General features: G+C 45.4%; 1 protein-coding gene and 1 long non-coding RNA gene across 6 annotated transcripts, besides 4 other annotated features; one reads left to right on the forward strand and one right to left on the reverse strand.

Annotated features, from left to right (window-relative positions):
- Window positions 1–1890: 1890 nt before the first annotated feature.
- Window positions 1891–17313, reverse strand: ZNF426 (zinc finger protein 426). 4 transcript variants are annotated; one of them, NM_024106.3, is made up of 8 exons: window positions 17243–17313; window positions 16927–17013; window positions 14876–15024; window positions 13856–13947; window positions 12508–12634; window positions 11513–11593; window positions 9653–9735; window positions 1891–8304 (listed from the first exon to the last, which is right to left on the reverse strand). In NM_024106.3, the coding sequence occupies exons 3-8, from the start codon at window positions 14898–14900 to the stop codon at window positions 7048–7050; spliced, it is 1665 nt and encodes a 554-aa protein (NP_077011.1). In that variant the 5' UTR covers window positions 14901–15024; window positions 16927–17013; window positions 17243–17313; the 3' UTR covers window positions 1891–7047. The 4 variants fall into 4 exon arrangements, with proteins under 4 accessions (NP_077011.1, NP_001304984.1, NP_001304985.1 ...); NM_001318055.2 differs by lacking the exon at window positions 12508–12634; NM_001318056.2 differs by lacking the exon at window positions 9653–9735.
- Window positions 16619–17354: an enhancer, noted in NCBI's record as "NANOG-H3K27ac-H3K4me1 hESC enhancer chr19:9648627-9649362 (GRCh37/hg19 assembly coordinates)". NCBI's record gives its function as "activates a minimal SCP1, AML or CMV promoter by ChIP-STARR-seq in naive H9 embryonic stem cells {active_cell/tissue: H9 hESC(naive)}" and the evidence as "EXISTENCE:reporter gene assay evidence [ECO:0000049][PMID:30033119]".
- Window positions 17334–18398, forward strand: ZNF426-DT (ZNF426 divergent transcript). 2 transcript variants are annotated; one of them, NR_134920.1, is made up of 2 exons: window positions 17334–17666; window positions 17804–18398. It is a non-coding gene; the product is annotated as a ZNF426 divergent transcript (long non-coding RNA). The 2 variants fall into 2 exon arrangements; NR_134921.1 differs by having other exon boundaries at window positions 18074–18398.
- Window positions 17361–17410: an enhancer, noted in NCBI's record as "active region_13930". NCBI's record gives its function as "activates an Ori minimal core promoter by ATAC-STARR-seq in GM12878 lymphoblastoid cells {active_cell/tissue: GM12878}" and the evidence as "EXISTENCE:reporter gene assay evidence [ECO:0000049][PMID:35858748]".
- Window positions 17611–17680: an enhancer, noted in NCBI's record as "active region_13931". NCBI's record gives its function as "activates an Ori minimal core promoter by ATAC-STARR-seq in GM12878 lymphoblastoid cells {active_cell/tissue: GM12878}" and the evidence as "EXISTENCE:reporter gene assay evidence [ECO:0000049][PMID:35858748]".
- Window positions 18335–19534: an enhancer, noted in NCBI's record as "CDK7 strongly-dependent group 2 enhancer chr19:9650343-9651542 (GRCh37/hg19 assembly coordinates)". NCBI's record gives its function as "activates an origin of replication core promoter dependent on BRD2, BRD4, P300/CBP, MED14 and CDK7 cofactors, with strong dependence on CDK7, by STARR-seq in HCT116 cells {active_cell/tissue: HCT116}" and the evidence as "EXISTENCE:reporter gene assay evidence [ECO:0000049][PMID:35650434]".

Here is a 23483-nt window from a genome sequence, read left to right on the forward strand (position 1 = left end):
TTAGTACTACGTCCCTATCTGATCTTTTTTTTTTTTTTAAGAGGCAGAGTCTTGCTATGTTGCCCCAGGCTGGTTGTGAACTCCTGGGTTCAGGTGATCCTCCTGTCTTGGCCTCCCAAAGTGCGGAGATTACAGGCATGAGCCACTAGGCCCAGCCCCTACCTCACCTTCTTCTTTTTTTTTTTTTTTTTTTTTGAGATGGAGCTTCGCTCGTCGCCCAGGCTGGAGTGCAGTGGCGCAATCTTGGCTCACTGCAACCTCCACCTCCTGGGTTTAAACAACTTTCCTGCCTCAGTGTCCTGAGTAGCTGGGATTACACATCCCCACCATCATGCCTGGCTAATTTTTCTATTTTTAGTAGAGATGGGGTTTTGCCATGTTGGCCAGGCTGGTCTTCAATTCCTGTCTTGGCCTCCCAAGTAGCTGGGATTACTGGCATGCACCACAACACCTGGCTAATTTTGTATTTTTAGTAGAGATGGGGTTTCACCATATTGACCAGGCTGGACTTGAGCTCCTGACCTCCAGTGATCCACCCGCCTTGGCCTCCCAAAGTGCTGGGATTAGAGGTGTGAGCCACCATGCCAGGCCCCCTACCTGACCTTTTAAAGAAGGGACATGCTTGGTGGCTCCGTCAGGCAGATATTATGGCGTGTGAAATATCTAAGGGTTGTATCCCACTTTTCCCCTTCCCATGGCTTCACAGCAATTTACAATGCACAAAAGAAGCCTTATGAATGAACAAAGGTGATTCCACTTGATTTACAAGCAGGTTTCTCTCCACTGAGTTTCTACACCTTCTATAAGGTATGAAGTTTTTAAAAGCCCTGCCACGTTCCTTTTGTTTCTCTTATTTTTCAGTCAACTTTTTCTTGAGACAGGGTCTCATTCTGTTACCCAGGCTGGAGTGCACTGGCACAATCTCGGCTCACTGCAACCTCCACCTCTTGGGCTCAAGTGATCTTCCCACCTCAGCCTCCTCAGTAGCTGGGACTACAGACGCACACTACCATGACCAGCTAATTTTTGTACTTTTGTAGAGATGAGGTTTCACCATGTTGCCCAGGCTGGTCTCGAACTCCTGGGCTCAAGTGATCTGCCCGCTTCAGCCTTCCAGAGTGCTGGGATTACAGGTGTGAGCCACTATGCCCGGCCCACATTCCTTATGATGGGGCTTCAATCCACTCTAAGCTCTTCCATTTTGTGCAAGATCACGTTCTTTGATTTCATACTACAAGAAACCTCTTCTTTGTATTCTTTTTTCTCATGTGAGTTTTATAAGTTCTTTCACCAGATGAGTTCGGATGCTCTAAGGGATAATAAAATGGTTTTTCACATGCCTTAGATTCACTGAAATGGTCTCCTGTGTGATTTCTTACATTTAGCAGACCAAAGATTGAAAAGAGGCCAGGTGTGGTGGCTCATGCCTGTAATCCCAGCACTTTGGGAAGCCAAGGTGGGCAGATCACTTCAGACCATGAGTTCGAGACCACCCTGACCAACATGATGAAACCCCAGCTCTACTAAAAATACAAAAATTAGCTGAGCATGGTGGTACGTGCCTGTAATCCTAGCTACTCCAGAGGCTGAGAGAGGAGAAATGCTTGAACCCAGGAGGCAGAGGTTGCAGTGAGCCAAGATCATGCCATTGTACTCAAGCCTGGGCAACAGAGGGAGACTGTGTCTCACACACACACACACACACACACACACACACACACACACACTACACAGACAGAAAACATTTCATTCCTTACATTCATAAGGTTTCTTTCCATTGTAACTCTGAACATGAATATTAAAGACTATGGAATATCTAAAGGTTTTCTCACATTCTTTACTGTATTATTTTGATAGAGTTGACCAAAAAAAGGAACCCCACACATTGAATGGCTTAAACAACAGAAATTTATTTGCTCATAATTTTTGAGGCTGGAAGTCCAGGATCAAAGTGTAGATAAGGATGATTTCCTCTATAATGAGCCTTAAAAGAAGGATCTCCTCCAGGAATCTCTCTTTGCCTTGAAGGTAACCATTTCCGGTCACTTCACATAAAATTCTGTGCCTGCTACCCTGGTATCTCTTTCACTTCTTATAAGGAAACCAGTCATATTGAATGAGGGCCCCATTCTAACTGCCTCATTTTAAAATCACCTCTTTAAAAAACCACATCTCTAAATACCACCATTATCTTGAGGTCCCAGGGATGAAAGCCTTAATGTTAATGAGTGGATGGGACATGTGACATAATCTAAATCAGTGGTCCCCTAACTTTTTGGCACCAGGGACCAGTTTCGTGGAAGACATTTTTCCCACGGACTGGAGTTGGGGATTAAACTGTTCCAGTTCAGATCATCAGGCATTAGATTCTCATAAGGAGTGTGCAACCTAGATCCCTTGCATGTGCAGTTCACAATAAAGTTCATGCTCCTATGAGAATCTAATGCCACTGCTGATCTGACAGAAAGTTGAGCTCAGGCAGTAATGTTTGCTCATCCTACATTCACCTCCTGCTGTGCACCCTGGATCCTAGCAGGCCACAGACCAGTACCAGTCCATGGCCCAGGGGTTTGGGGATCCCTGACCTAGGCCATTCCACTTATTATAGTCATCAAGTTATTCTCCAGCATACATTGCATATGAATATTAAAGCTTGTGGAACATAAAAGGGTTTTCCCACAATCCTTGAATTCATAGTTTCTCTCCAGTTTGTGTTCTAAAATGTTTATCAAGGACTAAGTGGCAGGCAAGGGCTTTCCCACATTCCTTACATCAATATGGCTTCTCTCCACTGGGAATCCTGACATACACTTTAAGGCTTGAGAAATAAGTGAAGATTTTCCCACATTCCGTATAAACATAGGTTTTCTCCTAGTGGGAGTTTTGTGGTATCAGTCCTATGGATTAAATGAAGCCTTTCCCATATTTTCCATTTACATAGGGTTTCCTGCCACTGTGAATTCTTACAAGTTCATTATGACCTGAGATAATAAAGAAGTGGTTCCAGATTCCCAACTCTCACAGCATTTTTCTACAATGTGACTGTTCACATCTTTCATGTAAATGGGAACAACAGAGAGCTTTACCACAATTCTAACATTGATAAGATTTCTCTCCAGTGTGAGTTCTTTAATGACATGGAAAGGGACTGTAAGAATTGAAGAACTGGCTGGGCGTGATGGCTCATGCCTGTAATCTCAGCACTTTGGGAGGTCAAACCAGGCAGATCACTGGAGGTCAGGAGTTCGAGACCAGCCTGATCAACATGGAGAATCCCTGCCTTCACTAAAAATACAAAATTAGCTGGGCATGGTGGTACATGCCTGTAATCCCAGCTACTTGGGAGGCTGAGGCAGAATAATCACTTGAACCTGGGTGATAGAGGTTGTAGTGAGCCAAGATTGAGCCATTGCACTCCAGCCTGGGCAACAAGAGCAAAACTCTGCCTCAAAAAAAAAAAAAAAAAAAAAAAAAAATTCAAGAATTTATCATACTACTTATATTCACAGGGTTTCTTTACCATGTGAGTTCATATACTTGAAATGAATTTAAATAACTAGGTTTTTCAACATTGCTTTACATTTTCAGGGTTTTTCTTCAGTGAGTTTGTATGTGGATATTAAAAAGGAAGGATTGGCTGGGCGCGGTGGCTCACGCCTGTAATCCCAGCACTTTGGGAGGCCGAGGCGGGCGGATCACGAGGTCAGGAGATCGAGACCATCCTGGCTAACACAGTGAAACCCCGTCTCTACTAAAAATACAAAAAATTAGCCGGGCGTGGTAGCGGGCGCCTGTAGTCCCAGCTACTCGGGAGGCTGAGGCAGGAGAATGGCGTGAACCCGGGAGGCGGAGCTTGCAGTGAGCCGAGATCGCACCACTGCACTCCAGCCTGGGCGACAGAGCGAGACTCCGTCTCAAAAAAAATAAAAATAAAAATAAAAATAAAAATAAAAATAAAAAGGAAGGATTATATAAATCCTTTTCAACATTTCTTATGCTGAAAGGGCATCTCTCCAGAGTAAATTTTCACACATTCAATAAGGTTTGAGTAACTAGTGATGGCTTCTCTATATTCCTTACATTCATAGGGCTCTGTCCACCATGAGTTCATGTTTAAGAAAGGCTGAGCATTGATGATGGGTTTTTGTTGTTGTTGTTGTTGTTGTTGTTTTGAGACAGAGTCTCACTCTGTCACCCAGGCTGGAGTGCAGTGGCGTGATCTCGGCTCACTGCAAGCTCCACCTCCTGGGTTCACACCATTCTCCTGCCTCAGCCTCCCAAGTAGCTGGGACTACAGGTGCCCGCCACCACACCCAGCTAATTTTTTTGTATTTTTAGTAGAGACGGGGTTTCACCATGTTGGCCAGGATGGTCTCGATCTCCTGACCTCATGATCCACCCACCTCTGCCTCCCAAAGTGCTGGGATTACAGGGTTGAGCCACTGCGCCTAGCCTTTTATTTATTTATTTATTTTTTTGAGACAGTGTCTCACTGTTTCCCAGGCTGGAGTGCAGTATCACAATCTCGGCTCACTGTGACCTCCACCTCCTGGATTCAAGCAATTCAGGCTGGTCATGAACTCCCAACCTCAGGTGATCCACCTGCCTTGGCCTCCCAAAGTGCTGGTATTACAGGCATAAGCCACCACACCTGGAGTTTTAGTCAGAGCTTCAGTGACCTGGAGGAAGGGAAATATCCAACTCCAGCCAACTCTATACATCCTGACCCAACTAAAGGGTGGGAAAAACTGAAGTTCACAGTGCAGAAGCACAGACTCACTGCAAGACTGACATCTAATCCCTGGACAATAGAATGCTGCCCCTCTCCCCACAGCTTATCATGATTACTAGAGGCCTGCTTACAGCATTTCCTCTTATCCAGTATGCCATGTCCAGCTAAGGAAAAATTACAAGCATACTAAAAGGCAAAAGTTAGTTTAAAGAGAAAGAGTAAGAACCAGAACCAGATATAGCAGGATTGCTGAAATTATCAGACTGGGAATTTAAAACAATTATGATTGATATGCCATGGGTTCTACTGGATAAAGCAGACAGCATCCAAGAACAGACAGGCAGTGTAAACACAGAGATGGAAATTCTAAGAACCACAAAGAAATGCTAGAAATTGAAGACAGTGTAACAGAAATGAAGAATGTCTTTGGTAGGCTTATTATTGGCCAAGAAACAGCCAACTAAAGAGCTTGAGAATATATCAGCAGAAACATCCACACCTGAAAAGCAAAGAGAAGAATAAAAAAACAAGATATAAGAACTGTGGGATAACTACAAAAGATGTATCCTACATATAAAGGAAATACCAGATGGAAAGAAAAAAAAAGGGAAACAATGACAGAATTTCTCAAAATTAACTCAGACACCAAAACGCAAATCCAGGAGGCTAAGCAAACACCAAGAAGGACGAGCACCAAAAACCTATACCTAGGCATATCATTTAAAAATAACAGAATATCAAAGATAACAAAAAATTTTCATAGAAGCCAGAGGGGGGGAAATGCTTTAAGTATTGAGGATCAAGTATAAGAATTACATCCAACTTTGAGCATAGAAGGAAGAAGTGAAGGTAAAATAAAAATGTTTATTTTTCTAATACTTAATTGATCTGATAACTTCTGAAAAATAGCTACAATGTATTAGATTACATATGCTAATTTGTGTGTGTTTATAGGCATAAAAGTGAAATATAGTAATGATGGAAGGTCTGAGAGGGAGGATTTAGGATTATTTTGATAGTATAAGGTACTAACACTACTCAAGAAACGGTACAGTATTATCAGAATTCATGTACTTATTATGGCATGTGAAATATTTAAAGGTTATACCATATTCCTTACCTTCCCAGGGTTCTGAGGTAATTTTACATGTGTAAAAAAAATTCTGTGGAATTAATGTAAGGCTTCCTACATGCATTACAGGTAAAAGGCTTCTCTCCAGTTCGACTTCTTACACCTTCTAGAAGGTAGAAAACATTAATGTAAGCTTTTCCACAATCCTAATGGGATTTCAGTCCACTCCAAGTTCCAGTATGGTGTATGGGGTCACATTCCTTGCGTTCACAGTAAAAGAAACTTTCTTTCCTTTTTTCTCCTCTATTTTCACATGGTCTACGACCAGACAACTTGCATGTGAATATTAAAATATAGTGAACATTCACAGGCTTTTTCATGCTCCTTACATTCATACAATTTCTCTCCTATGTGATTTCTCCTGTATGTAGAAAGGACTGAAGACTCAATGAAGGCTCTCCCACGTCTTACATTCATATAGTTTCTCTCCAGTGTGGCTTTGCATGTGAATATTAAGGCTTTTGGACAATCTATAAACGTTTTTGCTTATTGCTTACTGTATTCACTTGCTAGAGCCACCACAACAAAATACCACAGACTGGGTGGCTCAAACAAGAGAATTTTATTTGTTCAAAGTTCTGGAAGCCCAAGATGAAGGTGCCAGCAGGGTTGGTGGCTTTGATAGAAGGATCTGTCCCAGTGCTCTGTCTTTGGCTTGCAGATGGCCATCATCTGATGACTTCACATCATCTTCTATTTGTTGTCTCAGTTGTGTCTTTCTCTTCTTATAGGGACACCAATCATATTGGATTAGGGATGTACTCTAACAGACTCAATTTAATCAAATAATTTTCTTTTTTTTTTTTTTTTGAGATGGAGTCTCACTCCATCGCCCAGGCTGGAGTGCAGTGGCATGATCTCTGCTCACTGCAACCTCTGCTTCCTGGGTTCAAGTGATTCACTTGCCTCAGCCTCCCAAGTAGCTGGGATTACAGGTGCCCACCACACCTGGCTAAATTTTTTGTATTTTCAGTAGAGACAAGGTTTCACCATGTTGGCCAGGGTGGTCTCAAACTCCTGACCTCAAGTGATCCACCCACCTCAGCCTCTCAAAATGCTGGGATTACAGGAATTAAGTAATTTTCATGCAGCTTCTTCTCTCCAGAGTGAGTTCATTCATGTCTTTAAAGTGAACTGGAACAAATGAGAGCTTTCCCACATTTATTACATGGACAGTTTCTCACTAGTGAATTTGTTCATGTCTTCGAAGTGAACGGGGATGACTGTAAGCTTTCCCGCATTGCTGACATTTATAGGGTTTCTCTTCTGTGTGAGTTTTTTCATGAATTCTAAAGGAACTGGAACACGTGAAGGCTTTCCCACACTCCTTGCATTCATAGGGTTTCTCTCCAGTGTGAGTCCTTTCATGTATTTGAAATGAACTGGAATGACTGAAGGCCTTTCCACATTGTTTACACTCATAGGGTTTTTCTCCAGTGTGGATTCGCATGTGAATTTTAAGGTGGGTGGAATAGTTAAAAGCCTTCCCACATTCCTTACAGGTGTATGGTTTCTGGGCACTGTGCGTTCGCATGTGATTATTAAGACATGAGGGATACCCAAATACTTTCCCACATATCTTACACTCACAGGCCTTCTCTTCAGTGTGAGTTCTCAAATGTCCACTAAGATTTGAGGAAACTGCAAAGGCTTTCCCACATTCAACACATACAAAAGGCTTCTCTCCAGTGTGAGTTCTTATATGTTGAATAAGGCGTGAGGATGTAAGGAAGGATTTCCCACATTCCTTACATTCATAGGGCTTGTCTCCACTGTGAGATCGTACATGCATACTAAGGCCCGAGTACTGAGTGAAGGCTTTCCCACATTCCTTACATACATAGGGTTTCTCTCCAGTGTGAGTTCTTCCATGTATCTGAAATGAGTTGGAATAATTGAAGGCTTTCCCACATTCCTTACATTCATATGGTTTCTCCCCAGTGTGGGTTCGCATGTGAATACTGAGGTAGGCTGGGTATCTATAGCCTTTTCCACATTCCTTACATTTGTAGGGCTTTTTTGCATTGAGGGTTTCTATAAGCACAGAAAGGCTTGTAGAGTCAATAAAACCTGGCCCATAATTCCTCCATTCGTAGAGTTTTTCTCCATTGTGAGTTCTCATATGTGCCTGAAGGTATGACTCATTAATGAAGGATTTTCCACAGTGACTACATTCAAATGACTTTTCTTGTGTGCTAGTTCTCTGGTATACAATATTTGGTGTCAGGCTGAAGATTTTTTCACTCTGATTAAACTCAGAAAGTTTCTCACCAGTAGAGGTTTTCTCACACAGGGTAAGGAAATCTTTTCCATACTGATTACAGTCATGAGTGTTCCCTGTACTTTGAGTTCTCACGTGCGTCTTAAGGCATGAGTGTTCACTGAAGACTTCTCCACATTGCTCACAGTCACAGAGTTCCCTTCCATTGTGTTTTCCTTCCTGTTGAAGGGATGATGATGATTTAAGGATTTTTCTCAAACATATTAACAGAACATACCCATCTGAAGCTAGAAACATTATAATGGTGATTATAATTGATGCCATTTTTATTACATGCATTCAGGTCCTTCCCTGTAGATTTATTTTAAGTGGTATGACTTAACTCTTATTCTAGAATGTTGTGCCATCTACTTTAATCTTGGCTAGGCATGGTGTCTCATGCCTGTAATCCCAGCACTTTGGGAGTCCGATGGGGGGCAGATCACCTGAGGTCAGGAGTTCAAGACCAGCATGGCCAACATGGTGAAACCCTGTCTCTACTAAAAATACAAAAATTAGCTGGGCTTGGTGGCACATGCCTGTAATCCCAGCTACTTGGGAGGCTGAGACACAAGAATCGCTTGAACCTGGGAGGCGGAGGTTGCAGTGACCCAAGATCACACCACTGCACTCTAGCCTGGGCAACAAAGCGAGACTCCGTCTCAAAATAATAATAATAATAATAATAACAGATTTCTGTAGAATTCAATGTCTAGATGGGTGCAGTAGCTCACATTTGTAATCCCAGCATTTTGGGAGGCAAAGGTGGGTGGATCATTTGAACCCAGGAATTAGAGACCAGCCTGGGCAACATGGCAAAACTCCATCTCTATAAAAAATATCAAAAAATTAGCTGGGCATGGTGGTGTGTTCCTGTAGTCCCAACCACATAGGAGGCTGAGGTGGGAGGATCACTTGAGCCAAGGGGTCAAGGCTTCAGTGAGCCATGTTTGTGCCACTGCAATCCAGCCTGGGTGACACAGCAAGACCTTGTCTCGACCAAAAAAAAAAAATTCATAGTCTAAGCCAGATGTGGTGGCTCATGCCTGTACTCCCAGCACTTTTGTAAACTGAGGCAGAGGATCACTTGAGCACAGGAGTTTGAGACTAGCCTGGGAAACACAGTAAGACCCTGTCTCCACAAAATTTTGAAGAATTAGCTGGGTGTGGTGGTGCATGCCTGTAGTCCCAGCTACCAAGGGAGGCTGAGGTGGGAGGATCGCCTGAGCCCAGGAGGTCAAGACTATACTGAGCCATGATTGCACCACTGCACTCCAGCCTGGGTGACAGAGCAGTATCTCGTTTCAAAAAAACACCAAAACAAAACTCAACGTCTAGTTACACTTGTGGGAATGTGTGAAAGCTCCAAAGAAACAAGTTTCACAATTGGAGCATCCCTAAATTCTTTGCTCCCTCTCATGTGTATGCAACTTCTCTCAAATATCTCTTATTTTTGCTGACTTCCCATAACAGAATTCCTGATTTTCTCTGAGGGTGGAAAATAAAAAATATCCTATGCAAATCTTACCAATTGTATCCCAATGGATGTCTGACCCCTCAAAAAGTCCTGCTGAAGTATAGACCACTGGGTTTCAAGTCGCATTTCCCATCCTGAAATAAAACAGACAAACAAATAAAAGGACTCAAGCTAGGCACAGTGGCTCATGCCTGTAATCCCAGCACTTTGGGAGGCTAAGGCAGGTGGATCACTTGAGGTCAGGAGTTTGAGACCAGCCTGGCCAACATGGCAAAACCCCACCTCTACTAAAAATTCAAAAGCTAGCTGGGTGTGGTGGTGAGCACCTGCAATCCCAGCTACTCACGGGGCTCAGGCTGGAGAATCTCTTGAATCCAGGAGGCAGAGGTTGTAAGGAGCTCAGATCACACCACTGCACTCCAGCCTTGGCAACAAACAGAGTGAACCACAACAAGAACAAATGAAAGGATTTGGAGAAAGAAATGCAAAGAGTTCAAAACAATATGGCTTATTTCTATTTGTTTCAAATTAAACATGGCAAGAAAAAGCAGAAAGACATTTGGGGATTTGGGCTATATCAAAAATTTGGTTTTGATGTAAATGATCCAAAGGGGGAAAAATTGGCCAAGACAAGGACATGGGGTAAAACTTTTCGATCGTTTATTACAAATTGATGCTATGAAAATTAAAACTGATAGTGAATAGAGAGAATCAGGGAATGAAAGTAGGAAATTTCTGAAAAAAGAGCGTATATCTAAACAATTAACTTGGCCGGGCACGGTGGCTCATGCCTTTAATCCCAGCACTTTGGGAGGCCGAGGCAGGCAGATCACGAGGTCAGGATATTGAGATTATCCTGGCTAACACGGTGAAACCCCGTCTCTACTAAAGATATAAAAAAATTAGCCAGGCATGGTGGCAGGCACCTGTAGTCCCAGCTACTTGGGAGGCTGAGGCAGGAGAACGGCATAAACCCGGGAGGTGGAGCTTGCAGTGAGCTGAGATTGCACCATTGCACTCCAGCCTGGGCGACAGAGCAAGACTCCATCTCAAAAAACAAAACAAACAAACAAAAGCCACAATTAACTTAAAGAAATGTTCTAAGACCCCAGGTGGATGCCTGAATCATGGCTAGTTCTGAACCCTGTACATACTATGATTCTTCGATCTGGTAACTGAGATGACCGCTACGTGACTCACAGGTGGTGTACACAGTGTAGATACATTGGACAAAAGGATGATTCACACCCCAGGCAGGATGACATAAGGGTTCATCATACTACTGAGAATGGTGAGAAATTTAAAACTTATGTTTTGTTTATTTCTGGAAATTTTTCTTTTTTTCTTTTTTTTTTTTTTTTTTTTGTGGGGTGGGGGTCAGTGGCCAGGGTCTCACTCTATCACCCAGGCTGGAGTACAGTGGTGCAATCACATCTCACCACAGCCTTGACCTCCTAGTCTCAATCCATCCTCACAGCTCAGTCTCCTGAGTTACTGGGACAGCAGGTGCGTCCCACCACCCTCGGCTAATTTTTGTATTTTTTGTAGAAACAAGGTTCTCGGTATGTTGCCCAGGCTGGTCTTGAACTCCTGGGCTCAATGATTCACCCACCTAGGCCTCCCAATGTGTGGGGATTACAGGTGTGGGCCACCATGCCTGGCCGAGTTTCCCATTTAATATTTTTGGACCATGGTTGAATGCAGATAACTGAAACCGTGAAAAGTGAAATCACAGACAAGGGGGGACTGCTCTGTAAATAAAAGCGTGTGGGAAGTTAAATATTTCCTAACTTTCTCTAAACCTTGGGGTTTAGAGTGCAGGGAGAAAGTACATGTTAAAAAGTTTCCTAATTATGCTTTCAAACATACTGAACTTCTCATCAACCAGAGTTGTTCTTCATGAACACTCACCTTGGAGAACTCCTCCCTGAACTGTCCTTGACTCTTCTTGTTCCAACCAAGAGATTAGACTGGGTTTGATGATCTGACCTCCTGAGCACAGAGAAATACATTAATGGAAGAGGCTCATAAAAAAGATTACAAACCTTTCTGTGATTCAGGAACTACAGATCTAATGAAAGTGGTGAAGCTATTTCAAAAGGGCGAAAAATGCAAATAACAACTCTGACTGTGCCCCAAACAGTCTGGTTACTTCTGTCCCCTAAACCGAAATTCAGGCTTATGTACACATTTAAAAAGCACTGAGACTTTTATTCAAACACAAAATAATGGCCGAGTGTGGTGGCTCATGCCTGTAATCCCAGCACTTTGGGAGGCTGAGGCAGGTGGATCACTTGAGGTCAGGAGTTCGAGACCAGCCTGGCCAACATGGTGAAACCCCATCTCTTCTAAAAATACAAAAAAAAAAAAAAAATAGCTGGGTGTGGTGGCGCATGCCAGTAATCCCAGCTATTCGGGAGGCTGAGGCCCAAGAATCGCTTGAACCCAGGAGGCAGAGATTGCAGTGAGCTGAGATCATGCCAGTGCACTCCAGCCTGCGTGACAGAGTGAAACTGTCTCAAAACAAGAACAACAACAAATAAGGAATAAGGAAGTATAACAGAGATCTTCATTCTTCTGGGGAAACAACTACCCCAGTGTTTTTTAAAACATTATTGTGCATCAGAGTCATCCAGAGAACTTGTTCAAACACAGATTATTGGGCTTCAACTCCAGGTTTCTGGGTGGAGAAGGAAAATGTACATTTCTAACAGGCAGATGGTGTTGCTATTAATCTTGGACCACATTTTCAGAATGGTCACAGTAGATTAAAATCTATTTAGGACAGGGACTATGTCTCTGTTATTTCTCTTTGCATTCAGAGTTGACATTGCCAATGCTGCAAAACAGTAAGTACAAAACATATCAGTTCCATAGAAGGCTGCAAGGGATGAGGCCAGTCTTACCTACTGTGGCCAGGTTCTTGTAGTTCTCCAGCATCACGTCACTGTAGAGGCTTCTCTGAGTTGAGTCCAGTAAAGTCCACTCCTCCTGGGTGAAGTCCACAGCCACATCGTCAAAGGTCACTGAATCCTAAAGCATCACACACATGCTGGTTGGAGCCAAGTAACAAGCCCATCAGCGTTCGCTGGAGGATGAGGAAGGGGGACCCAATGCCTATGCAGGATTCCAAGGGCTGCAGTGACCAGCCCCAGGTTTTAAGGGTCCTAGAAACTCCTCGCACCCTAAACATACTCACTGTCATCTCCTCCACTCATAGTGCATTAATGGCACTTCTTGAATATGAATTTATCTCAGCACAACCAGACTAGGAGATCTCTTTTTTTTTTGAAATGGACTCTTACTCTGTTGCCCAGGCTGGAGTGCACTGGTGCAATCTTGGCTCACTGCAACCTCCACCTCCCAGGTTCAAGCAACTCTCCTGCTTCAGCCTCCTGAGTAGCTGAAATTACAGGCACACGCCACCATGCCCGGCTAATTTTTTGTATTTTTAGTAGAGATAGGGTTTCAGCATACTGGCTAGGTTGGTCTCGAACTCCTGACCTCATGATCCGCCCCCTTCAGCCTCCCAAAGTGCTGGGATTACAGGCATGAGCCACTGTGCCCGCCCAAGATCTCATCTTATTTCCATCTATTTGAGCGCATTGCTCAGCACATTCCAGACATCTGATCAATGCTGATAAACAACTTAAAGGACACTTTTTTTTTTAATTTTTTTGAGACGGAGTCTTGCTGTGTTGCCCAGGCTAGAGTGCAGTGGTGCAATCACAGCTCACTGCAGCCTCAACCTCCAGGGCTGAAGTGATCCTCCCACTTCAGCCTCCAAAGTAGCTGGGAGTCCAGTCATGTACCACTTTGCCCAGCTAATTTTTAAATTTTTTGTAGAGACGGGGTCTCACTATGTTGCTCAGGCTGATCTTGAACTCCTGTACTCAAGCAATCTGCCTGCCTCAGCCTCCTAAAGTGCTGGGATTATGGGTGTAAGCCACCATGCCCGGCCTGGGATGATTTCCAAGTTAGCACCTCCCTATATGGGTGGCCCCAACCCTTGGGGAAATTCAAATGGGGATTCAGTCCTTGAGTGACACTTTATTTGCTTTAAGAAGCCTGGAGACCGGAGCTTGCAGTGAGCCGAGAGCATAGCACTGCACTCCAGCCTGGCAACACAGCGAGACTCCCTCTCAAAAAAAAAAAAAAAAAAAGAAGTCTGGAGACAACTCTGCCTAGAGGGAAATGTGTCTACCTGGTGGATGCAAGTATGTCACTATGTATAAGAATACAGCTGCTTTTTACCTGATAACAATCTGTTAGGCAGTCAGCCACTATTCTTCCTGCTGGTGTCTTTTCTTCATGAAGGCAAACTGGGTCCCCAGAAAGATAATGTCCTGTAAGAAAATGAAGGCAAGAGAACCCCGAGCTGACCATAATCCCCACATCCACCTACCTAGAGGTCATTACCTCCTAGTATGAAATTCCCATATATTCCTGCAAAATCAGGAAAACACACATAAGGCCAGTTGCAGTGGCTCACATCTGTAATCCTAGTGCTCTGGGAGGTTGAGGTGGAAGGATTACTTTAGGCGAGAAGTTTGAGATCAGCCTGGGCAACACGGTGAGACCCCGTCTCTACAAAAAAATTTTAAAATGAGCCTGGTGTGGTAACACACACCTGTAGTCCCATCTCCTTGGGGAAGCTGAGGCAAGAAGATTGCTTAAGCCTAGGAGTTCGAGACTACCCTGGACAACACAGTGAACATAAACTCCCCATCTCTACAAAAAAATTTTTTTAATCAGCCAGGCATGGTGGCATGTGCCTGCAGTCCCAGGTACTTGGGAGGCAGAGGTGGGAGGATTGCTTGAGCCCAACAGTTTGAGGCTGCAGTGAGCTATGAATGCACCACTGCACTCCAGCCTGGACAAAAGAGCGAGACTTTGTATAAGAAAAAAAAAAAAAAGAAAAGAAAGAAAATGCAAACATACAACCTACTACCATACAATGCCAGAGCAGTCCTAAACGTGATGATGAGCTGTGCTGCCCATCAGGAAAAGTACAATAGTCTCATTTCACACATAAGGAAACATATACCCAGAGCATGGGACTCTATCATGCTGATTAGAATTCATGAAGGAGATTATGCAGTACCTCTTTCCAAAATTCACAGGCAGAGCCTGACTCACAAGACAGCACGTTCTGGCACCCCTCAGCACCTCCCAAATGAATCAGCAACATGACCAGCTGCCCAAACCACTAGACCCTATATTGTGTAAAGGGAACCTAGAACAGGATATCCTAAAAAGAGCAACAGAGCTTACCATGGGACAAATCAGCAGCTGCCATCCCGCGAGGTGAGAACGTGTCAGAACCCTCCTTTCATTGATGTCACCATCACTTCAGGACACCTCATTAATCTAAATGGACAGTGGCAATCTCCATTCCTCTTTAAACAGGGTTATTGGGATTCCTGTTGGTATTAATCAATAATCAACAAGCAGTACTTAATCATCAGCCATCAAACATATACACCGGCTGGGGCAGTAGCTCATGCCTGTAATCCCAGCATTTTGGGAGGCCAGGGTGGGAGGACTGCTTCAGCCTAGAAGTTTGAGACCAGCCTGGGCAACATAGCAAGACCCTATCTCTAAAGAAACAAAAATAAAAATAAGTAAACAAACAAAAAAAAATGAAGTGGTAAACCAGAACCTGAATGCAAGTACAAGTTTTGCACACACACATAGAAAAAATAATCTCACAATACACTTTTAAGTATTGGGTAGCCTCAACTGGGCCTTGATTGGAAACACTCAAATCAAATCTGCATCCCCAGCTCACACTGTCAGAGAGGCAAGGCCAAACCACTCTGTGCCTAACACTGGTCTGTTTTATGGGTCTTCAAAGAGAACTACCTTTTCATAGTATTTATCTGGTTAATTTTTTTCCACCAAAGTTTGGTTTTATTTGGCTGGGCAGGGTGGCTCACGCCTGTAATCCCAGCACTTTGGGAGCCTGAGGCCAGAAGATCATGAGGTCAGGAGTTCAAGACCGGCCTAACCAACACGGTGAAACTCCATCTCTACTAAAAATACAAAAATTAGCCGGGCGTGGTGTGCGGCTGTAATCCCAGCTACTCAGGAGGCTGAGGCAGGAGAATCGCTTGATCCTGGGAAATGGAAGTTGCAGGGAGCTGAGATCACACCACTGCACTCCAGCCTAGGTGACAGAGCAAGACTCTGTCTCAAAAAAAAAATAATAATAATAATAATGACAATCATTAATTAATCAAACATGAAACAGTGGCTCAAACAATCACCTACAGAATGGGAGTCAAATGATGATAAACAGTGAAAGTTCCGCAGTTCATTATCCATGAACCAAATTCACAAAAACTCTATAGGCCTCCTTCTACCAATAAGACTAAAACCCTAAAGTCACAAAAACCACAGTTCTGGACTCCTGGTATAGATCACACCTACTCCCAGGGGTCTCAAACTAGGGGTCCTAGGGCTGACTAGGCCCACAAATATTCAGTTTGGTGGCATCTGTATAGAATATTTAACTCTTTTTTTTTTTTTTTTTTTGGAGAGATGGAGTCTTGCTATGTTGCCCAGGCTGGTCTTAAACTCCTGGGCTCAAGAGATCTTCCTGCCTCAGCCTCTCAAAGTGCTGGGATCACAGGTGTGAGCCACTGTACCCAGCCAGCTTTTTTTTTTTTTCATTGATATACAATCAATGTAGCTTAAAATGCACACATCCTTCGTTTCTCTTTTTTTTCTTTTGAGACGGAGGCTCACTCTGTCTCCCAGGCTGGAGTGCAGTGGCACGATCTCAGCTCACTGCAACGTCCGCCTCCTGGGTTCAAGTGATTCTCCTGCCTTAGTCTCCCAAATAGCTGAGATTCCAAGACCCCACCACCACGCTCGGCTAATTTTTTTTCTATTTTTAGTAGAGACGGGGTTTCACCATCTTAGCCAGGCTGGTTTCAAACTCCTTAATCCAACCATCCTGTTCATTGTAAATTTGATTATTGTGATACTAGAATAATAAAGCCTTCATCCTTTCCCTCTGGAGGTCTGATTAAGAAGCTCTCTTGGGATGTACAGGCCTAGGAACTCCATTCGAAGATAATGAATTATTATTCTTAGTATTCTTTAGCAGAAAGACTTGCGGTCTACAAACGTTTATATTCACATACACAAATACGCACACCCTATAAACCTAAAAAGCATCTTTATCTTTCGCCATGAAAGTAATGGTCAAAAATAAAACACAACACAATAAGACGAAACCAAACTTACAGATGAAACATTCGTTTGCATAAGAGAAGACAGAAAAGGCCCCCTAGAACCAACTTTCACCCAGTGCTCACCGGAACACTCAGAAATCGCCAGGTCCCTGAACCGGGAAGATCCTGGGGACGGAGCCAACGCGGATGCAAAAGGCAGCAATTATTTTCCTGCCGGAAAAAAATTCACAAACGCTGCTTTGGAGGCCTTTGGAGAGGGGCGCACAGATGAAAACACCCTGCGGACACCGTAACTATAAACCCGACTCCTCCCGAGGAGCGACGGTCCGAGCGGACGCTAGCGGGCCCAGCAGACACGAGCAGAGCGGGCCAGGCCTCTCTAACGTCCGGGCCAAACCCGTCCTTCACCCCAAAACCAGTTCATCTCCTCGGAACTCACCCAGGCCAGTGAGGCCTTAACTCTGAAAGGCAAAAAGACTCTCAGGCGCTCACAGCCGGCGTCACAAAAGGAACGGCGCACCGCTGACGTCATTTACGCTCTCCGCCTCGGGCCAGGCGGGGTTTCGGGACTAGGGTTTCTGCCGTGTAATACCTCCTCGAGGCAGAAAAATTCTACTTTCCATCTGCTTGGCTGCGGAGGACCTTGGGGTGGGCTCAGCGTGGGGGCTGCAGGCAGAAATGGGTCCAGAAGGCAAGGTCGAGGTTAGAGCCAAGCCTGTGGGCAGGGCTACGGGCAGGGGGCGGGGAGGAATGTGGGTCCAGGCCCAGAGGAAAAGGTTGAAGTTATAGCCAGGCCTGTGGGCGAGGCCGCAGCAGGGCGGCCATAGGGGAAGGAGCCAATGTGTTATGCATGTAGAAAATAGGTAACTACGTCTTTTGCTCTGTTACTATTTCAACATTTGATGTAAAAAACATTTTCTATGCAGCTAAAAGAATTGTTTTTAAAAATAATTTCTAGGTTTTCTGCCTTGCTTTAAAACATCTTTTCTTTTTTTTTGAGACAAAATCTCACTCTGTCACCAAGGCTGGAGTTCAGTGGAGCCATCTCAGCTCACTGCAACCTCCACCTCCCAGGTTCAAGCGATTCTCCTGCCTCATCCTCCCAAGTAGCTGGAATTACAGGTGCATGCTGCCACACCCTGCTAATTTTTGTATTTTTAGTAGAGGCAGGGTTTTGCCATGCTGGCCAGGCTGGTCTTGAACTACTTGTCAGGCCTCTGAGCCCAAGTTAAATCATCATAAACCCTGTCACCTGCACGTATACATCCAGATGGCCTGGAGCAACTGAAGAACCACAAAAGAAGTGAAACAGCCAGTTCCTGCCTTAACTGATGACGTTCCACCATTGTGATTTGTTGCTGCCCCACCCCAACTGATCTCTTGACCTTGTGACATTCTTCTTCTGGACGAGTCTCAGGAGTTCCCCACCGAGCACCTTGTGACCCCCGGCCCTGCCAGCAAAAGATAACCACCTTTAACTTTCCACTACCTACCCAAATCCTATAAAACTGCCCCACCCCTATCTCCCTTTGCTGACCCCTTTCTCGGACTCAGCCCACTTGCACCCAAGTGAATAAACAGCCTTGTTGCTAACACAAAGCCTATTGGTGGTCTCTTCACATGGATGTGTGTAACATTTGGTTCCGAAACCTGGGACAGGGGGACTCCCTTGGGAGACTGGCCCCGTCCTCACCCTCACTCCGTGAGGAGCTCCACCTACTACCTCGGGTCCTCAGACTAGCCCAAGGAACATCTCACCAATTTCAAATTGGGTAAGCAGTCTCTTCACTCTCTTCTCCAGCCTCTCTCACTACCCTTCCATCTCTCTGTCCTTCCAATTCCAGTTCTTTTTCCTCTCCAGTAGAGACAAAGGAGACACATTTTATCTGTGGACCCAAAACTCCAGCTCCAGTCACGGACTCAGGAAGACAGTCTTTCCTTGGTGGCTAATCACTGTAGGGATACCTGCCTGATTATTCACCTACATTCCATTGGTGTCTGATCACTGTGGGGATGCCTGCCTTGATCATTCACCCACATTCCCTTGGTGGCAAGTCAATTGCAGGGCTGCCTGCTTTGGCTGCTTACCCACATTACAGCCCAGGGCTGCTCACCCCCACCCCACTCCACTGCCTTCTCCATGTCTCTACCTTTCTCTTTAAACTTACCTCCTTCACTATGGGCAATCTTCTGCCCTCCATTCCCTGTTCTTCTCCCTTAGCCTGTGTTCTCAAGAACTTAAAACCTATTCAACTCACACCTGACCTAAAACCTAAATACCTTATTTTCTTCTGCAACACCACTTGGCCCCAGTACAAACTTGACAATGGTTCTAAATGGCCAGAAAATGGCACTTTTGATTTCTCCATCCTACAAGATCTAGATAATTTTTGTCATAAAATGGGCAAATGGTCTGAGATGCCTGACATCCAGGCATTCTTTACACATTGGTCCGTCCCTAGTCTTTGCTCCCAATGTGACTCATCCCAAATCTTTCTTGTTTCTTTCTTGTCCTTTGAATCCTCCTTTTCTATGGACCCATCTGACCTCTCCCCTCCCCCTCAGGCTGCTCCTCGCCAAGCTGAGCCAGGTCCTAACGTATCCAGAATTGGTGGGTTCTTGGTCTCACTGACTTCAAGAATGAAGCCGTGGACCCTCGCGGTGAGTGTTACAGTTCTTAAAGGCGGCGTGTCTGGAGTTTGTTCCTTCTGATGTTCGGATGTGTTCAGAGTTTCTTCCTTCTGGTGGGTTTGTGGTCTCGCTGGCTCAGGAGTGAAGCTACAGACCTTTGCGGTGAGTGTTACAGCTCTTAAAGGCAGCATGGACCCAAAGAGTAAGCAGTAGCAAGATTTATTGCAAAGAGCAAAAGAACAAAGCTTCCACAGCGTGGAAGGGGACCCAAGGGGGTTGCCACTGCTGGCTCAGTAGCCTGCTTTTATTCTCTTATCTGGCCCTACCCACATCCTGCTGATTGGTAGAGCCGAGTGGTCTGTTTTGACAGGGTGCTGATTGGTGTGTTTACAAACCTTGAGCTAGATACAGAGTGCCAATTGGTGTTTCCACAATCCCTGAGCTAGACATAAAGGTTCTCCACATCCCCACCAGACTCAGGAGCCCAGCTGGCTTCACCCAGTGGATCCCGCACTGGGGCTGCAGGTGGAGCTGCCTGCCAGTCCCGCGCCATGTGCCCGCACTCCTCAGCCCTTGGGTGGTTGATGGGACTGGGCACCATGGAGCAGGGGGGAGCTCTCATCAGGGAGGCTCGAGCTGCACAGGAGCCCATGGAGGGGGTGGGAGGCTCAGGCATGGCGGGCTGCCAGTCTTGAGCCCTGCCCTGTGGGAAGGCAGCTAAGGCCTGGCGAGAAATCAAGCGCAGCACCAGTGGGCTGGCACTGCTAGGGGACCCAGTACACCCTGTGCAGCTGCTGGCCTGGGTGCTAAGCCCCTCATTGCCTGGGGCCAGCAGGGCCGGCCAGCTGCTTCGAGTGCAGCCGCCAAGCCCACGCCCACCTGGAACTCCAGCTGGCCCGCAAGCACCATGCACAGCCCCAGTTCCCGCTCGCGCCTCTCCCTCCACACCTCCCTGCAAGCTGAGGGAGCTGGCTCCAGCCTTGGCCAGCCCAGAAAGGGGCTCCCACAGTGCAGCAGTGGGCTGAAGGGCTCCTCAAGTGCCGCCAAAGTGGAAGCTCAGGCAGAGGAGGCGCCAAGAGTGAGCGAGGGCTGTGAGGACTGCCAGCACGCTGTCACCTCTCACTAATTCTTCCTCAGCCTCTGCTCCCTACCCTGTGATCTTTCTATCACCTCCCCTTCTCACACCCGGTCCAGCTTACAGTTTCATTCCATGACTAGCCCTCCCCCACCTGCCCAACAATATCCTCTTAGAGAAGTGGCTGGAGCTGAAGGCATAGTCGAGGTTAATGCTCCTTTTTCTTCATCCAACCTCTCCCAAGTCAGTTAGCATTTAGGCTCTTTTTCATCAAGTATAAAAACCCGGCCCAGTTCATGGCCTGTTTGGCAACAACCCTTAGACAGTTTACCACCCTAGAACCAGAGAGGCCAGAAGGCCATCTTATTCTCAATATGCATTTTATTCTCAATATGCATTTTATTACCCAATCTGCTCCCAAGACTAGAAAAAGCTCCAAAAATTAGATTCTGACCCTCAACCCCCACAACAGGACTTAATTAACCTCACCTTGAAGGTGTACAATAATAGAGAAGAGGCAGCCAAGTGGCGTTGTATTTCTGAGTTGCAATTACTTGCCTCTGCTGTGAGATAAACCCCAGCCACATCTCCAGCACATAAGAACTTCAAAATGCCTAAACCACAGAGGCCAGGTGTTCCTCCAGGACCTCCTCCCTCAGGTTCTTGCTTTAAGTGCTGGAAATCTGGCCACTGGGCCAAGGAATGCCCGCAGCCCAGGATTCCTCCTAAGCCATGTCCCATCTGTGGGACCCCACTTGAAATCGGACTGTCCAACTCACCTGGCAGCCACTACCAGAGCCACTGGAACTCTGGCCCAAGGCTGTCTGACTGACTCCTTCCCAGATCTTCTCGGCTTAGCAGCTGAAGACTGACACTGCCCGATCACCTCGGGAGCCTCCTGGACTATCACAGATGCTTTGGGTAACTCTTACAGTGGAGGGCAAGTCTGTCCCCTTCTTAATCAATACAGAGGCTACCCACTCCACATTACCTTCTTTTCAAGGGCCTGTTTCCCTTGCCTTCATAACTGCCGTGGGTATTGATGGCCAGGCTTCTAAACCTCTTAAAAATCCCCAACTCTGGTGCCAACTTGAACAACTTTCTTTTATGCACTCTTTTTAGTTATCCCCACCTGCCCAGCTCCCTTATTAGGTCAAGACATTTTAACTAAATTCTCTGCTTCCCTCACTATTCCTGGGCTATAGCCACACCTCATTGCCACCCTTTTCCCCAGTTCAAAGCCTCCTTTGCCTCCTCCCCTTGTGTCTCACTACCTTAATCCACAAGTATGGGATACCTCTACTCCCTCCTTAGCAACTGATCATGCACCCCTTATCATCCCTTGGGGGTAAAACCTAATCACCCTTACCCTGCTCAATGCCAATATCCCATCCCACAACAGGATTTGAGGGGACTAAAGCCTGTTATCACTTCCCTGTTACAGCATGACCTTTTAAAGCCTACAAACTCTCCTTACAACTCTCCTATCCTACCTGTCCAAAAACTGGACAAGTCTTACAGGCTGGTCCAGGATCTTTGCCTTATCAACCAAATTGTCTTGCCTATCCACCCCATGGTGCCAAACCCATATACTCTCCTATCCTCAATACCTCCCTCCTCAACCCATTATTCTGTTCTGGATCTCAAAGATGCTTTCTTTACTATTCCTTTACACCCTTAATCCCAGCCTCTCTTCACTTTAACTTGGACTGACCCTGACACCCGTCAGTCTCAGCAACTTACCTGGGCTGTACTGCTGCAAGGCTTCAGGGACAGCCCCCGTTACTTCAGTCAAGCACTTTCTCATGATTTACTTTCTTTCCATCCATCTGCTTCTCACCTTATTCAATATTTTGATGACCTCCTACTTTATAGCCCCTCCTACAAATCTTCCCAACAGGACACCCTCCGGCTCCTCCAACATCTATTCTCAAAGGGATATCGCGTATCCCCCTCAAAATCCCAAATTTCTTCTTCATCCGTTACCTATCTCGGCATAATTCTTCATAAAAACACACGTGCTTTCCCTGCTGATCATGTCTGGCTAATCTCCCAAACCCCAATGCCTTCTACAAAACAACAACTCCTTTCCTTCCTAGGCATGCTTGGGTACTTTCACCTTTGGATACCTGGTTTTGCCATCCTGACTAAACCATTATATAAACTCACAAGGAAACCTAGCTGGCCCCATAGATCCTAAATCCTTTCCCCACTCCTCTTTCCATTCCTTAAAAACAGCCCTGGAAGCTGCTCCCACACTAGCTCTCCCTAACTCATCCCAACCCTTTTCATTACACACAGCCAATGTACAGAACTGTGTGGTTGGAATTCTTACACAAGAGCTGGGACCACGCCCTGTAGCCTTTCTGTCCAAACAACTTGACCTTACTGTTTTAGGCTTGCCCTCATGTCTCCATGTGGTGGCTGCCACCACTTTAATACTTTTAGAGGCCCTCAAAACCACAAGCTATGCTCCATTTACTCTCTACAGTTCCCATAACTTTCAATATCTATTTTGTTCCTCACACTTGACACATATACTTTCTGCCCCCTGGCTCCTTCAACTGTACTCACCATTCGTTGAATTTCCCACAATTACCATTGTTCCTGGCCCAGACTTCAATCCGGCCTCTCATCTTATTCCTGATACTACATCTGAACCCCATGATTGTATCTCTCTAATCCATATGACATTCTCCCCATTTCCCCATATTTCCCTGTTTCCTGTTCCCCACCCAGACCACACTTGGTTTATTGATGGTAGTTCTTCCAGGCCCAATCACCAATCACTGGCAAAGGCAGGCTATGCTATAGTGTCTTCCACATCTATCATTGAGGCTATGGCCCTTCCCCCTTCCACTGCCTCTCAACAAGCTGAACTCATTGCCTTAACTCGAGCCTTCACTCTTGCAAAGGGAATACGTGTCAATATCTATACTGATTCCAAGTATGCCTTCCACATCCTTCACCACCA

The sequence above is a fragment of the Homo sapiens genome, chromosome 19 (genome assembly GCF_000001405.40).
Source record: "Homo sapiens chromosome 19, GRCh38.p14 Primary Assembly".
NCBI lineage: Eukaryota > Metazoa > Chordata > Mammalia > Primates > Hominidae > Homo > Homo sapiens.

Excerpts from the sequence above, each read along its gene's own strand:
- ZNF426 (NM_024106.3), bottom strand. The coding sequence starts at position 14,900 with ATGGCAGCTGCTGATTTGTCCCATG. Across the intron at positions 13,948-14,875 it reads AGCTGCTGATTTGTCCCATG|GACATTATCTTTCTGGGGAC; the intron begins GTAAGCTCTGTT and ends ATTTTCTTACAG. Across the intron at positions 11,594-12,507 it reads CAAGAACCTGGCCACAGTAG|GAGGTCAGATCATCAAACCC; the intron begins GTAAGACTGGCC and ends CTCTGTGCTCAG.